Source organism: Homo sapiens, chromosome 5 (genome assembly GCF_000001405.40).
Source record: "Homo sapiens chromosome 5, GRCh38.p14 Primary Assembly".
In the NCBI taxonomy this organism is placed as follows: Eukaryota; Metazoa; Chordata; class Mammalia; order Primates; family Hominidae; genus Homo; species Homo sapiens.
In genome coordinates this window covers 53,310,798-53,327,204 of record NC_000005.10, presented here as the reverse complement: position 1 = coordinate 53,327,204, position 16,407 = coordinate 53,310,798, and the positions used below count along the sequence as shown (strand labels likewise).

General features: G+C 36.6%; 1 long non-coding RNA gene across 1 annotated transcript; it reads left to right on the top strand.

The window, feature by feature from the left end:
* The first annotated feature begins 661 nt into the window (after nt 1-661).
* On the top strand, nt 662-10,338 carry LOC105378965 (uncharacterized). Its single transcript, XR_001742511.1, has 4 exons — nt 662-762; nt 4,400-4,556; nt 7,489-7,656; nt 9,985-10,338. It is a non-coding gene; the product is annotated as an uncharacterized LOC105378965 (long non-coding RNA).
* The last annotated feature ends 6,069 nt before the right edge of the window (nt 10,339-16,407 follow it).

The window sequence follows — 16,407 nt, the reverse complement described above, 5'->3', positions numbered from 1 at the left end:
GGGAAAAGTTCAGATGAAGAATATGCTATTATTTTCAAATTCTCACATTCTGACTTTAGTATATTTTAACGTATTTTCTTTTGTTAGGCAGTCCTTTCTCCAAAGGGCCATGGGTCCCTAAAATTTATATTCTCTTTCTATATTGGAGCTAATGGCAGTCAGAAGCCTTATTAGCTAAGGCTGATTTATTCAGTCAGTTTGTACAGGCAAGGAGTGGGGTTAAACTTGGGCGTGCCACTAACATGGTCATCGTTTGATAATAAGAAGCCTTACTGCCAAACTTCAGGAGTCTCCAAAGCTCTCTCTAGTCTGCAGGTCATTCTTCAGTTTCTCTAATTCTTGTACAAAAAAACCCACACAAACAAACAGATAATACGCAAATATACTGATTTCTTGTTTTTACAATACGTATAAGCTTTTTGATTCTGCACTGGCAGCTAGCTGGTCTCCTGAGACATGGTTCTGGACTATATCCAAAAACAAATTTAGTTTCTGAGGAGGAACATTGTGAAATCAGTAAGCCAGCAACCTTGCTGATCCAAGTGAGCAAAATGCTTTAGTTGGTGGGTGCTCCAAGCAAAAATGCTTAAAGGGATCCAAGAGTTCTATTTCTCATTTGACTCAGATTCAGTTAAATTTCATTTCTGTGGAATCCCGGATGATGAGCATCACCAAGTGCAGAAGCTGAGTTGGGTGGAACAGTTGCTCACAGTGGGGCAGCTCACTCATTGCCTTGACACATGCTCTTGTTTTGCCATGAACGTAAGTGACCTTAAACACATTTTTTTTCCTAAAATTATAGCAACAAGGGACTTGAAAAAAAATGAAACTCATGAGACAGCTATCTCTCTTGGCTCTTGAAAAGGCTGCTCCTTAATTGCCTCAAGAAAGATGAAATGATGGTACTGACCCTATTTCTCAGGAATAATTGATGGGTCACTTCAGCAATAAATTCAAGAGTAGATACTGACTAAGAACAGTTACAGAGCTTTATTTTTGCCTTATATGTTTATAATGAATTCAACTAACCAGGGCTCAATATAGGACTTGCTTTTTGAATTTTGCAATGATTTCAAATGTAAAGTCACTAAAGACCTCTTGTGCACTTTTAACATCTCTTCCCTTCCCCCATGTTCTATGTAAACAAAGTATGTTTCTTGAATTGTACCATTAACAGTGCCAGATTATCAATGTTTCTCCTGAACAAAGTTTGGATGCTTTCCTTACAATTTCCTTGTAATATAATTATGACATTTGAAGGAAATAAGAAGTCATCAGAAAATATCTTTAAAAATTTACTGGCAATGATATCTGCTTAATTCTGGAAGGAATCAAGGCTCAGAGCTTAAGGGACAAAAATGAATAGAAATAACTACATTTCTTATTTGGTCTTCTAGGTAGAGAAGCCTTGTTTACTACCTGTATAAGGCAAACACAACACCCACCTTTAAAAAAATTTTTAAGTAAAACTTCTCATGGGAAGTGGTGACGGTAGAAAGTATCAAGAGTTTTTGTTTGTTTATTTATTGATTGATTTATGTCCCACATTTTTTTCCAAAAAGATTTAAACCCAAGAAAAGAATATGATTGAAATATTGAAAAGGTTTGTTACAGAAAAGAAATCAAAGTATGTTACTTAAAAATTGTGGTTCTGAACTAGATAGGAACTATTTTTAATGGAATAATTTGAAGGACAATGTCTCTCTCTCTCTTTGTGTTTATTTAACAATTATTTATTGATTCTGTTCTTTGTATAGTCTTAAGTACTGGGGACCAAAGAGAATATATGACTAAGATGGGCTTTCAGCCATTCATTCATTCACTGTATATAGGAGATTGGATGACTGATCTTGACTTTGCTGAGAAATTGCATAAATTATTGTCATTTACAATAAAAAAGAAAATTGTTCTTATATTCACTAGATGCTTAAGTGTCTCACTAGACCAGTGTTTCCCTGAACCTGGCTAATCATCAAATCATTAGAGACACCTGCTAACCATAAATATTCCCAAGCCTCACTGATGGACCCTTAATCCAATGGGCATGTTGTTGGGTAGTGATGGGATTCTCCAGTTTTATCAGGTAGTCAGGTGATTCTCATACTTCGCAAAGTGTAAATTACATGGTACAGGAGTATGAACTCTTCCTGGGCAGGAACCATGTCTTGTTTATCTTGGTGTTTAGTGCTTAACATAGTGTTGGGCACATAAGAGGTGCTCAATAAATGTTTGTTAAACAGAATAGTAAACATCTCCACAAATAACCTTTCTGGAGGGACTCATTTCTTGCTATATTTTTAACTTCATTGCTATGTGTGCTTTTTGTTTCTTGATGTTTTTTCTGCATGGTATAAACATGCTTCCTTCCTACTCACCATTTCTTAATACCTCATGTCATCCAGATCAATAGAATTAGTCTGAATAGAAAACTAATGATCTGGCAGGATATTGCTCAGTGTCTTTGGTGTTTGGCAGGAGGATCTTTAAGTAGCAAATCAGAGTCTACAGAACTGGTTGTAGATCGGTATTAATCATATTATAGCTTGCATTTATGTAGCATCTTTCTCTAGGACTCAAATCCTTCTTCAAACATTATTTAACAAGGACAATCTATTCATCTCTCTGTAGGTGTGTATGTTGTTTTAAGAATGCCTTACTCATGAGTCTAGTTGATTGGACCACCAAGAATTTAGTAGCAATGATCCTTCCACCTGGCTGCTTGGCCTCAGGGTGCCTGAAAAAGGTGTGTCCCAACAAGCAAAGGCATCTTCCTTTCAGACAGGCAATAGTTTGACACTTAGTTTATAACTAGGTGTTACCTTAGCTGAAGTTGTGGGACAGGCCAAGGGAGGAGTGTCTTGGCAAAGGGGATGGGGTGGATGCTAGAGGCTAGTGACAGACTGACCTGAATCTCAGCTGTGAGGACAGGAAAGATCTGACCCAACAGTCTGAAATGACAATTGGTAGAAAGTGAAATTGAAGACTGGCATGCTGAAGAGATTTCCCTGAGGTCACTGGCTGGTTGACACAGCCATAGATAGAACCGAACTTTGACCTAAGTTCCAGTCACCAGACCACATCCTGCAGAGAGAATACTCAACATCCTCAAAGGTCTAATCAGTGACTTTGGCTGGGATGTGATTTGACAGATCACTGTGTTGTCTGGGCAAGGTTAATTGAAAGTTTTTCCTCTGAGAAGTATTTCTTTCCCTCTATTGAGACCTAGATTCTAGGAGAAAAATTCTTGAGGTTATTCATCCCATTGCTTCTGGGAACACATATGTGAAAGAACACTTCTTAGTCAAAATAAATTTCCATAGACAGTTATCAAGCACTAAAGCTTTTCCTGACAAGGCATGTATTTCTATACTGCTGGTTAGTAACCGATACTACCTAGCATCAGATAATATTACATCAAATTTATATTTGTTTGCGGTTTGACTTTTGCATATTCTGAGAAGACAAGCCTGAATCACAGGTATTCAGCTATCTAACAGGTTCCCAGTACTTGCCAATCTTTGTAGTAACTTGAGATTTTCCCAGTTGGCTTCAAGCCAATGGGCCCTGTGGGCAGCACAAGATGCTTATGGAAACTCAGTGTATGCAAATTACTTCCAGGATCTTTGAACCCAGGGGTGGCAAATGTTTTACAATAGTGAAGAGAACTAAGGAGATGTGTATTTTTTTCTCCCCCAACCCCATATTTTCCTCAGGTATCAATCTTATTTGGTATTTTGATTGAACTCATTAATCCTCTATTGAGGCTATGGCTAATGGAGCGAGAATTCACTTTCTCAGAGAGTTTGTGATTTTCCCTCCAGAAACAGAAATCTAATGATGTAATCACTGAAGAGAATTTTTCTAGAATGGAGAGAAAAGTCACATTTTTGGTACACAGGGAAAGTCAAAGACTGTATATAACAAAGGGTAATACCCGAGCAACAATCCCATCTATCATTTTTAACTCATTATTTGATATCGTACAAGCTATTTTACTCCTCCCTCTGGTCTCTGATAAACCTAGAAAAAGCTCATTACAGAATCCAGGGAAACGACATTTGTTATGTATTTTCTAGGAGTCTGAAACTTATTTCTTATCACAATTCTATAGGATAGATAGATATTTTGTGGCCATTTGACCACAAAAACTAAGCCTGAGAAAGGTTAAATAATTTTCCAGGATTACCCAGTTAGTAGTAGTGCTGGAGCTTGACTCCTGTCTGCCTAGTTTCAGAATTCCCCACAGTGCATCTCCTAACACGGTAATGGGAAAATAGGTGAAAATCAAAAGATTGTTTTTTGGCTTGGTTTCACAACCAAGTGCATGGACTTAGAAAATTGTGTTCTTTCCAGCATCTATCCTCTTGTTCACACTGCTTGCTCTCATTTTATCCCCCAGATAAACTTGTGGTGGGGCCTATTTACAGCCCTGGTGCCAAAGTTTCAACCACAGTGAGAGACCTAAGGATTTCAAGGAAAACTCAAAGCACCAATATTCAGTGATAGAAGACTCAGAGGTTTGATGCAGAGTTCACTCTCTGAAAATGAACGTTCAGGTAAGTGCCCAGTTGGCTCCAGAGCTGAGTGTAGATCAGTATTAATAATGTAACTTGTGTTTATGTAATAGCTTTTTCTAAGACTGAAATTTTTCTTCAGACCTATTCAGCAAGTACAATGTTTTCATTCCTTTGTAGGTGTGTATGTTGTCTTAAGGATGCCTTACACATGTCTTCCAAACTATGTTTACTGGTTGGGTGTAGATCAGAGGGTTGTTCTCTCTCTCTAGAGCCTTCAGAAAATAACTTCCAAGTCTGACTCAGTGGAGTTGAAATAGCAGTCTAATGCAGTGGTTAATTTACAATGGTTAACTTAAAATTCCCAGGGATCTCTTTTAAGGTTTTCTGAACTATTAAGGCCCTGGAACTTAATATGAATTACTCTAAACATTTAAGATTCCACCTTTGAAGAAATATATGACCTGAAAATAGAAATTTATAAAAACCAATCAATCAGGGAAGCCTATCTTCTCTGAATAAAAGAGTAAGTCCTGGTTTTCATTTTGTTTAAAGTGTTTCCTAGTGCATCCAAAATACAATTTAAGTTTTAAAAATTGTTTTTTCACATAGCGTTAATCAGCCCTACCTGTCTTCTGCAGCATCTTACAGTGGCAAGGGTCCTGAGTAGCCTGTCAAAACATTTATGTTTTTGTCTTGGCTCTCCCATTAGTTAATGCGTATCCTTGGGCAATTCATCTAATCTCTCTGGATTTCATGGTCATTATTGGTAAATGAGGAGATTGGGCATTTGAGGTTTTATGGTTTCTGCCAGGTGTGAAATTCTATGATCTAACTGTATACCATTTGGTTTCTGGGAAGAAAAGAAAGCAAACAACCAAAAAACCCAAACTAAGGGTTTTCCTATAGAATTATAGGAAATAAATATAGGAATATAGAATAATATATCATATACATTATTACTACTAATAATTTCTTGTTAACTATTTTCTAGAATGCTATGGTACAAATTCATTTGCTACTGGAAAGAGCTCAGGAAATATAACATTACATATTAATATAATTTTTATTTAAGGGGAAAGGTGTGGGGTTCCAAGTATTTCATGAAGAATTAAGTATTGTACTTGTTTATTAAGCTATTAAACACACACAAAGAAATGAGGAATACATGGATTGTGGGAAGCTGGGAGTAACTTTAATTTTATTCAAGAACACATACTTTATTTCTCAATATTTTGGTGTTGGAATTGTAATCATGACTTTGTTCTCTTCATCTCTCCTTTCTGGCCCGATAAGCAGACATGTTGTCTTACATAGCAAGGGTGTTGATGGCATCTGAAAGGAAAACAATCTGATTTTTGAACAGATTGTTTTTTATGGGTCAGCACTTTTGTAACTATAGCAGACCATGACTGATTAAGACAAATGGTTATTGGATGACTTGAAGGAAAGAGAGATTCATTCAGTGAGTGACTATACAGGGTAATAATTTTGGGCTTGGAGAGCTGTGGGTGTCTCCAGCCACTGAGCACAAACTCCACTTACAGAGACCCAGGCTTGGCAAAATCAGATCTCATTTGGAAGACTTTTTTTTTTTAATATACTGGAGTATATCAGCTTCTTAGTTGAAAAGAGGGAAAATTGGTTGATACCTTCATTAAACACAATTCTGATAAGACTAAAGAGATGCAATGAAAAGTAAATACAGTGCATGATCTTGCATGTACTGAAAAAAATTTGGACTGAAAAAATTGTGTAATGGATGTCACTGGGACAAACAGGACAATTGGATTATGGACTTTGAATTAGAAAATAAAATTATATCAATGTTAAATTTCCTGATTTTGATAATTATAATTATGTAAGAGAATGCTTTTGTTAAAAAATACACAGAAGTATTTAGAAGGAAAGGGGTATACTGTATGCTATTAACTCTTTAGACAGTCTATTTAAAAATTATGGACATAGAGACAGTAACAGATAAAGCAACTTTGCAACTTCTTTGTAAGTTTAATTAAAATACAAAGTTAATAAAAAATAGAAGAGAGAGATAAACAGCTGTCTGATTTTGCAGAATTGGGGAGAAAATGTTAACCAATAACATGTTTTATCACCTTCCCTTTGGCGAGGACCAGCAAGCTGGTAAACTTCTGGCCTAGAAACTCAAGGATTTAGCTGAAAATAAAAGTCCTAAACTTATTACGACCATGAAACCATAAACCTCTCCTCTCCATACTCAACATCATAACTTGTTCTTTTGTATCTTTATCCTTTGTTCTGGATCAGTCTGGGTTAAGAGCTTGAGTTAATCAGTTCCACTCCTTCAGAAAGTCCTTCCAATACCTTGCCCTAAATCAGAAGAAATATATGTAAAATCTCCCCAGGAACTGGGGAAGACCAGTATTTTTCAAGCCAGTGGGCCCTTTCTTGTTGTAAGCCAAGATCTATAGATTATATTTCACTTATCTCCCACCCTGGCTTAGTCTCTTCTCCCTTTTATTACCATAAAGGGAAAAAAGTCCAAATCCTGACTTTTGTGAAGCCACTATTTTTTTTTTTTGCAGGAGGTGGGGCATGCAATTTCTGTCATCATTCAGATGATGATTGATAGCAGATCAATCAATGCACAATCAATAATACTTTATGACATTTTTTTGACCTCCGATGGGTCAAATTAAAATGGATACATCTAATCCTGTTTTCTCTAAGAATTTTGCAAAGTTTAGGGGTGGAGTGAAGGGACAGAATCATTGGAAGCTAATAGAGAGAACCACAATTTAGGGTCTTTTATTTAATGAGAGTGTTTGTTTTTACATGTGGGTTTTCATTGCTCCTAGAGTATTAACAACATAATACTGAAGATGCCAGTCTTGTATTTCCAATTCTCACCCAACGAGCTATCTTTGGTCTTATCTGGAGTTCATATTCTGAGAGTCTTAGGGAATAAAAGTCTTTTCTTTCTACTTCATGACAGTAAAAGCATGTCTGATTTGGAGGCTTCATATAAACTGCCTGTGAAGTAGACGCCACTTTGCAGGAATCCGGTCAGCTGTAACATTCCTGAAGGAGGAGGAGGATGGTTCAGAGAATGCGGTTCTTCTTCGAAACAAAGATCCACATCAGAATCATGAGGCTGAAGGAGGTTAGAAGGATACTTTTGCCTTCAGGGTGTCCCATCTCAGCCACTGGGTACTAGTCTGGGCAGGCAGTGCTTTCGTTGACACCTTCAGGATGAGCAGACAGGGAGAAACTTGTAGTCATTTTTCTTGGCAGAAGCTACAACCCAGCCCAAGTTAATTATGTCTGAGAAGAAGAATAATGTCTGGGCACCTGCAATTTTCAATTTGGGACTTCATGTGCCAGTGCCAGGTATTCTATCAAGCCATTCACATGTATCTTCACAAAGTCCTTTTCTGGTTTCATGTCAGACAATGGGAACACTGAGTTTTAAAAACTCCTTTATAATTGTCTCTGTTTGCTAAGAACTTCATATGTGCCAGAGCTGATTAAGTTATGTACCTGCATCTTGCTATTTAATCTTCATAACAACCCTCCGAAGAAGATATTATTATTTTTCCCACTTAGCAGTTGAGAAAACCAGGGCTTAGAGAATATCTTGGCTCAAATCACATGACTAAATAATGTGGAATTGGTGCTTGAAATTAAGCCTATGAGACTAAAAGACTCAAAATTAAGCATACCAGACTTTGCGTAAAGTTCTATTTCTAATATTCCTATTAATTAGAAGGTGGGCATTATTGGTCCTGATTTCATAGTCAGACCTTACTTAGGGATATTTACCCAGAGCTGCAGAGTTGTTAGAGCTAAATCCAGAACTGCTATTCTCTACTCTATTTAACTCTCTTCCTTTCCTTAATAATAAATGTCACCAATCTTGGGGCTCAGAACATGATACCCTAAAGTACAGTGCTTTGGCATGCTGAGTACTTTGAACTGAAAGAGATCAAAAGGGCCTCAGAAGCAAGACCTTCTCCTGCCCTCCTCTCTCCTTCCCCCATTTCTCTCCCAAAGCAGGTAATAAAAACTAGAATTCCTCTTTCCCAAGGCAGATCATAGAAACTACAACTGCTCTCCCTCAAAGCCAGCCATAAAACTAGAAATACTACTCTTTGACTTCTCCCTTCTTCCCTAAAAACTCTCATGTAACAGGTGTCCTGCCCTCTACAGGTACAGGGAAGAAATGATAGAGAAGGATGCTGCACAGAGGGAAGGAATGCTACACAAGAGAGGACTAGAAACCTCTTTACAAACAGGCCCCGCTGGGTTTCTACCTCATCCTATTATCATTACATTATGTTCTTTTTGTCCAATCACGTTTCTACTCAGCTGTCCATTCTTCATCAAACCTAAGCATAAAAATACAAGTTTTCCCTGGGTCTTCACTTTTGAAGGCTCTTATGTAATACAAAGTTTAATATAATAAATATTACGTTTTCTGTTGCTAACCTTTTTTGATTATAGGAGTGTCAACCATGACCCTTGTGATGGGTTGGGAAAATCTATTACCTTTTTACCCCTACACTGGCAGTGTATTATCCATAGAAATGGCTCTAATTTAAGAATTAGGGAAACCTGAGAAAATTAAATTCAAAAATATATAATTTGCCTTTCTACTGACTCCTTCCGCACAATCCATAAATATGTTCAAGTCTCTCATCTAAAACAAAACATAATGAAATAAAGCAAAGAAAACAAGAAAATAAACAACCAAACCCAACTTCTCTCAACTCTGCATCCCTCCTCAGCTCTAGTCCTATTTATTTCCTTCCCTTAGCAGTAAAGCTTCTTGGAAAAAAAGTCAACGATTTTCATTTTTTGGCATTCTACTCCTTCTTAAACCTACTGCAATCTGTCTCTTACACACATCTCCCAACTGCACTAAAGCCGCCCTGAAAGGTCATCAATGACCACCCAATGTCAAAGCCAATGGATCCTCCCCACTTCTCAAAATTTTATTATAAAATTTTTAATTATAGAGAAAAACTGGAAGCACTGCTCAGTGAATACCTGTATATGTAATACCTATATCTGACAATTAATATTTTACTATATTTTCTTTATCAATCCATTTATTTTTTAAAATTGCAATTCCAAGTAACTTGCAGATTTCAGTATACTTCCAAGCACTTCAGCATGCTTAACATAGACTAGAGTTTAGTGCATCCTGATATTAAGTTGGCATGACTTTTTGCCACAAATCTCTGTGCTAAAATTCCCAAATCCATTCTTAATCTTTCCCAACCCTCATATTCAAATGCCTACTGAATAGTTGGCTGTCAGTCTTATAATTCTCCTTTTCTTGTTGTATTTCTTCTTTACCTTTATGGCCTTTCTCTCTCAATAGATCTTCTGTCCCCTTTTTCCTACCAATTCTTTAAATAGTGATATGTTTGATCTCTCTAGTTTTGACTACATTCTTGTGTATCTTTCCCCTTTTCCTCTGTCTTAGGTTCAGTCCCCAAGAAACAGACAATAAAATGGAGATTTGCTTGTGGGAAGTTTATTGGAGAGTGCTCTTAGAAACAACAGAGGACATAGTTGATCTCAAGCAGAGCCCTGTCTAGGCCTTTTACCCTTACATCAGGTGGTGATTGGAAGTCCAGTATCATATCCACCTTTGGGAAATGCACTACTGTGAATTGCTGTGTAATATGACTTAGGACTTTTCCTGGTAAGGAACTGCACTATCTCTGAGAATGATTGTTTGCCCAAGGAAAAGGGAAACCTGTGTGTGTGTGTGTGTGTGTGTGTGTGTGTGTGTGTGTGTCCAGAGTTACCAATAGGAAACTAGAGAGATACAAGAATAATTGGGAAATGTGGACATATCTTTATCACTTACTAGCAGAGAAGCCCTAATGCATGCCTGAACTAGGAAATGGGGTTGTCACATATAGTGATGTAGACTCTCTAATGCAAAACTCCAGGGGTTGCCTTTCATCTCATAACCAAATCTACTACTGTTCCATTCAACTGATCTGTTTTCCCTGATTATTTTATGAGACAAGCCTACACTCTTGAATGTATTTTATTCCCCTTCATTTTTATCCATAATGATCTTTTTGTCTACTTGTTTTATCAATTGTTGAGAGGGGGTCTATTGAAATTTCTGACTATAATTGTGGATTTATCTGTTTCTCCTTTTAATCCATTGGTTTTTACTTCATGTATTTTTAAACACTGGTTTACATGCCTACACACTTATGATTAGTATGTCTTTTAGGCTTCTTTATAATTATTAAATGTCTTTCTTTATCCTGATAATATTTTTTGTTTGGAAGTTTACTTTCTCTGGTATTAACATGACTACCTCAGCTTTCTTACACATAGTGTTTGCATAGTATATATTTTCCCATCCTTCTACTTTTATTTTTTGAGATGGGGTCTTACCCTGTCACCTAGGCTGGGGTGCAATGGTGTGATCTCAGCTCACTGCAACCTCTGCCTCCCAGGACTCAAGGAAACTTCCCAACTCAGCCTCCTGAGTAGCTGGGAGTACAGGCTCGCATCACCACACCTGGCTATTTTTTCATATTTATGGTAGAGACAGGGTTTTGCCATGTTGCCCAAGCTGGTCTCAAACTCCTGAGCTTAAGAGATCTGCCCGCCTTAGCCTCCCAAAGTGCTGGGATTACAGGTGTGAGCCACTGTGCCCAGCCTTCATCCTTTTACTTTTAACTTGAGCCTTTATATTTGAAGTGAGTTTCTTGAAAATAGCATATAGTTGGATTTTGATTCTTAACCAATCTGATAATCTCTGCAATTTAATTTGAATGTTTAAACCATTTATATTTAATGTGATTGCTGTTATAATTTGTTTAAATTTATCACCTTGCTATTTGTTTTCTGTTCATCCTATAACACCTTTCTTCCTCCTTTCCTCCTTTCTTGCCTTCCTCTGAATTTAGTATTTTGTATGATTGCATAACTTCTACTATTGTTTTATTGGTAATAACTCTTTGTTTTGTATTTTTGGTGGTTGCAGTAAGATTTACAATACATATCTTTCACTTATAACAGTTTATCTTCAAAAAATATTTTAGCACTTCATATTTAGTGTAACAAAACATATTTGTCAATTTTCACCTTCTATCTTTTGTGGTATTTTATACGTAAGACTCACAGTATATTGTTATTATTTTTCTTTTTAAGCAATTACTTATCTTCTAAAAAATTTTAAAATTTTCTTATACTTACTAACATGTTTACTATTCCTAGTGTTCTTTATTCCTTTGTGTAAGTCCAGATTTCTATCTGGTATCATCTTTCTTTTGCCTGAATAACTTCCTGTAGTACAGGTTTGTTGTTGGTATATTATCTCAGCTTTTGTTTGTCTCAACAATCTTTATTTTGCCTTCAGTTTTGAAAAAATATTTTCTTTGGACATAAAATTCTAGGTCGACAGTTGTTTTCTTTCATCACTTTAAAAATGTCATATCATGAAAAGCAAGCCCTGGAGTTTTGCTTTACATAGCTTACATTACCATATGTGATTATACCATTTCCCCATGGATACTTCAGGGCCTCTATACTATTTTGTGATGAAGATATGTCCTCCTCCCTCCATTCTTCTTATATACATCTAGTTTTCTATTGGATACTCCAGATAAAACACACATACACAATCACACACACACTTAAATGTTTCCTTGATCAAACTGTAATTCTCAGAGGCAGTGCAGTCTAATTATCTATGAAAGCAGAAAAGCGTTTTCCTCAAGTTAATGTTATCTGCCTGCATGCAGCACTTTACATAATTCTGCAGAGCACATTAAACTTCCCTTCTCTGATGTTTTTGATTCATTCCATCCTGTGTCTAACCCATACACAAGAAATTGGATTAATAGATAACAGATTAATTGATTAATAGTATGAATAGATAACAGAGTAATCTAACTTCTTCTTTTGCTTACATAAAGAACTGTCAAAAATTTTTGAAATTATACTATTCTCTTATATTGGGCCACATCAAGTTTTTATTCTGCTTCTAATCAGAGGAAATAACTAGATATTTGCTTGTTTTTTACTTTCAGATACATTTGTATGACACATTTCTCCTTCCTTAAAGATAGGACTGATTATTATCTCCTTTGGGATCTCATTGCTTTCTAAGGTTCAATCATAACTGTAACACTTCACTGTATTTGTTTATGTGCATATCGCTTTTTATTATATATATTTCTAGAAGATAAAAGTCTATAATTTATTATCTTATTCCTGGAACATTACATGAGGCATGGGATATACTAATCTAAGAAACATTTGTTGAATGAATGAATGAACAAGACACTAGGCAAGTATTTTGGTGCTCTTGTCTGAACCCTGAAATTGATCAAGGATGTGTGATGGTCAGTCTTGCTCAAAGAGTTTTGATTTTTTCAATATCAGCATGATTTCATAATATGCATAGTCAGTCTATTTTGGGAAGCCAATATGAAAATTATAGCAGTGAGACCGTTTTGAAAAATAAACCTGTGACCTCTAGAAGAAATATTCCCATGTGATCAAAACACCTGGAGAAATCATTTAGTATCTACTTTTTGAGAATGTCTGCTGTTTAAAAAAATAAAAGATCCAGTAGAAACCGACAGTGAAGAGTATTTCATTTTAAGTGTTTGAAATATTTAATGTGTGAGGCCAAACTGTGACATAAAAATGCATGAAAATGAATGGGAAACATGACAATGGTGACAATCCTTTGAAAATCCAGGCCTATTCATATAAGCCTCTCTAGATTGGAGGCCTCTATAGGATCAGGAAATTAAGACAGAAGAGTCTCTGCCATCTCCCCTTCTCCGTTGCACAGAGTCTCAGTGGAATGCTTTGGCATAACCTTAGAGAACAACAATTTGTCCAATCTAGATATAGTTAGCCTTAGGAATGAACAGTAGCTCACTGCCTCTTCATAACAGTCCACAGAAAACTTAGTTTATTTTATAAGCTGGCAAGATATGCATTAGCAATTTTTTTACTATCACAGAAGCAACTAAATAGGACTCAGGTATATGAAACCATTTGGAAAAGAAAAAGGAAACAGAGAACATTGCTCCTATGCATGTTTCCAAAGGACTTCTGGGAGGACGTTTATTGGAGGTAAACAGGGATGTTCAAAATTTGGCATAATTTAGCTTGGGAGCTGTTTGTACTGGGAGAACCTTGGCAAGGACTACAAACTAGGGACTTGGACTTAAATTTGATTTTTAGAAAAGGAACAATCTTGCATGTTAAGAGGATGCAGAATTAACATTATTCTGGCCATTCTTTGGTCACATCTGCACTGCAGATTTGGCTGTTAGTTGAGTGGTTGCATTGTCTAGTCCTAGATCTGGGAAAACATGGTCATGAGTTATCATAATTATAAATATGATCTAAGTAAATGCACGCATATGTGTTTAAGCACAAGCATGCGCCTCCTCATAAATGGTGCCACAGTTCTAAAATAAGCTAGACTTTGTGGGTTGTTATTTGCATCTTTGTTTTTCTCTCCAACAAATGACTGTAATTCAGAAGTTATTTGTAAACTGGTTGTAGCTAGAATTAGAAATTCAGAAGCTCTCAGGACAGTGTGTACTTTAATTTGGTAACCCAATTTTTTTGATATGTATGCTTTAGCTTATTACATTTTCCTACCTTATGTAAGCAAATCAGATTGTATTTAATGTAGTTCTGGGGCACATACAGCTGATAAGTTTGTTCAGTTATCATTTATAGGACAGTAGTGCCCTTTTTAGCATGTGATATCAGGTCTGAGCCTTCAACTGAGAGGTCTGACTGGTAGTCTTCAGTATGCCCTGTCTTGGAGGCATACAGCTGCATGTACATCAGACTGTACTTCCAAAGATAAATCTTCAAAATACAGCACACCTCATGCACAAATAGGAATTATGTCTTTGATTATATGTTAAAACATTTTAAGTCCAGAAGTCCAGCTTAGACTAAATACCATGCTCTGACCTTCTTGAACATTTTGCACTGTGATTTAAAGAGTGTTCTCTGGAGTTAGAGAAATTGACTTTGTGAGTTGGTATTCCTACTTACAAGGTCTCTATTTTCTCATTTGTAATACATGGCTATTAATGATATCTATAGCGTAAGGTTATTTTGTGGAGCCTGTAAAGTGCCTTTCACAGTGCTTGGTACCTGGTAAGCACTCAGTAAACCTGTGAACCTTATTACAATTAAAACAATTATTATTACACTACAAGAAGGTCTTAAGTAATCTCTATCATCTGTTCACTCTAAGGAAGGGGTCTGGTCTGCTAAAATACTGGTAAAGTTTCCATTTCATGGAAGATCAAGTAAATGTAAATTGCCATGTTTTGTGCATCTCAGATACAGGGAAAAAAGCCAGATGTGGCCATAAATTTCACTGGGGCTTTATTTCTTAAAAGTATAATGATATGTGAAAGCTAAGTCAAATAAAGAGCTTTATGAAATCAGCACTATTTTAATATCACGTTAGCAATTACATGGGATTATCCTAGCGTGATTTCCAAATGACTTTTTCTATCACCCAAACCAAAGCATTTTGTACAAACACAGACATACACTTGCATGTGAACATGTAACATCCAGTTATTGATTGAGGAACAAAGCCTCCCCAAAGGAGTTTTAAAAACTGCTATGTCCCAGCATGCCGCTTTCTATTTTACATCAATTTTTGAGTCAGCAGAAATGTGTGTAGAATCATATAAAGCCTGAATACTCCCCTGCTAGTCCATGAAGTCAGAGCCCACACATGGGGGTTATCCTATCCTAGGTCTGGAATATATCATTACCACAAAATTCATTGCCTAAGCAATCATCAGGGCTGATGGTAATATAATAGTTGGGGCATGAAACCACAGTAAATTGTCAGGATTGTCTAGCGTATGGTGCATCAGACACAGAGGTATTGCCTTCTGATATCTGGAGAAGCAATAGCATGCTGTAGGCTGGGCAGCAGGCCACTAATTTGGGGCTAAAAATTTGAATTGTTCTTTTGTCACTGACCTGTGGTTTAATCTGCAACTAGTCAAGTGGTTTCTTTGTATGTAGATGAACATACACTTAGAGGCCTATCAATATGGTTGCAAACAGTCTTTAGAATAGATATTAAGGCAAACTAGGAAGGCCTATTCCAAAGTCTTCTGATTATAAGGATCAAATTAACAAATCATGCCATTAGAGGGAAAATGTGATCCAGTCTCACCTTGCTTACCAAAATGTTGTGGGAGAATAATGATAAACTAGCTACTCAACTTTTTTATACCATAGAGTGGCATTCCTGCAGGTTCATCTGGTTGGTATAGATCCTATGGCCTCTTTCAGTGGCACTCAGGCTGCTCAGGGCAATGGGAATAACAGGGATCAGTGTAATGCAATAGTAAAGAACTTGGACTTTGGAGACAGATGGTCAAGGGGTTGGATCCCAACTCTGCCATTTACCATGGTATGACCTTACCCAAGTCAGTTCACCTTTTTCAAACTGTCTGTTCATCTTTAAAAATGGGGAAAAGTAATGGGCTCTTCCTCATAATATGGTTATGTGGATCATATAAAATCTCTGGCATATTGTATACTTCATAGTCAGCTGTCGAGAAATGTACAGTGATGTTATTGTTATGCATTCAAAATGGGGATTGGTAGTTACCATTTTAGACTATGGAACTGTAGCCCACACCTCATACATATTAATCTCCAGGGGATTCTGAGGATTACTTGCCAGGAAGGGTCCAGGAGCCCAGGAAGGCATAATGAGACTTGGAGAATATTGGATGGTCAGTTAATGTCAGCTTTATGAGGTATTGTGAAGAATCTCCAATCCTGAAACAGTTTAGTAATAACTATTCCTAAGGTTGCTGTGAGATTTAGATAACATAGGGTACCAACATGA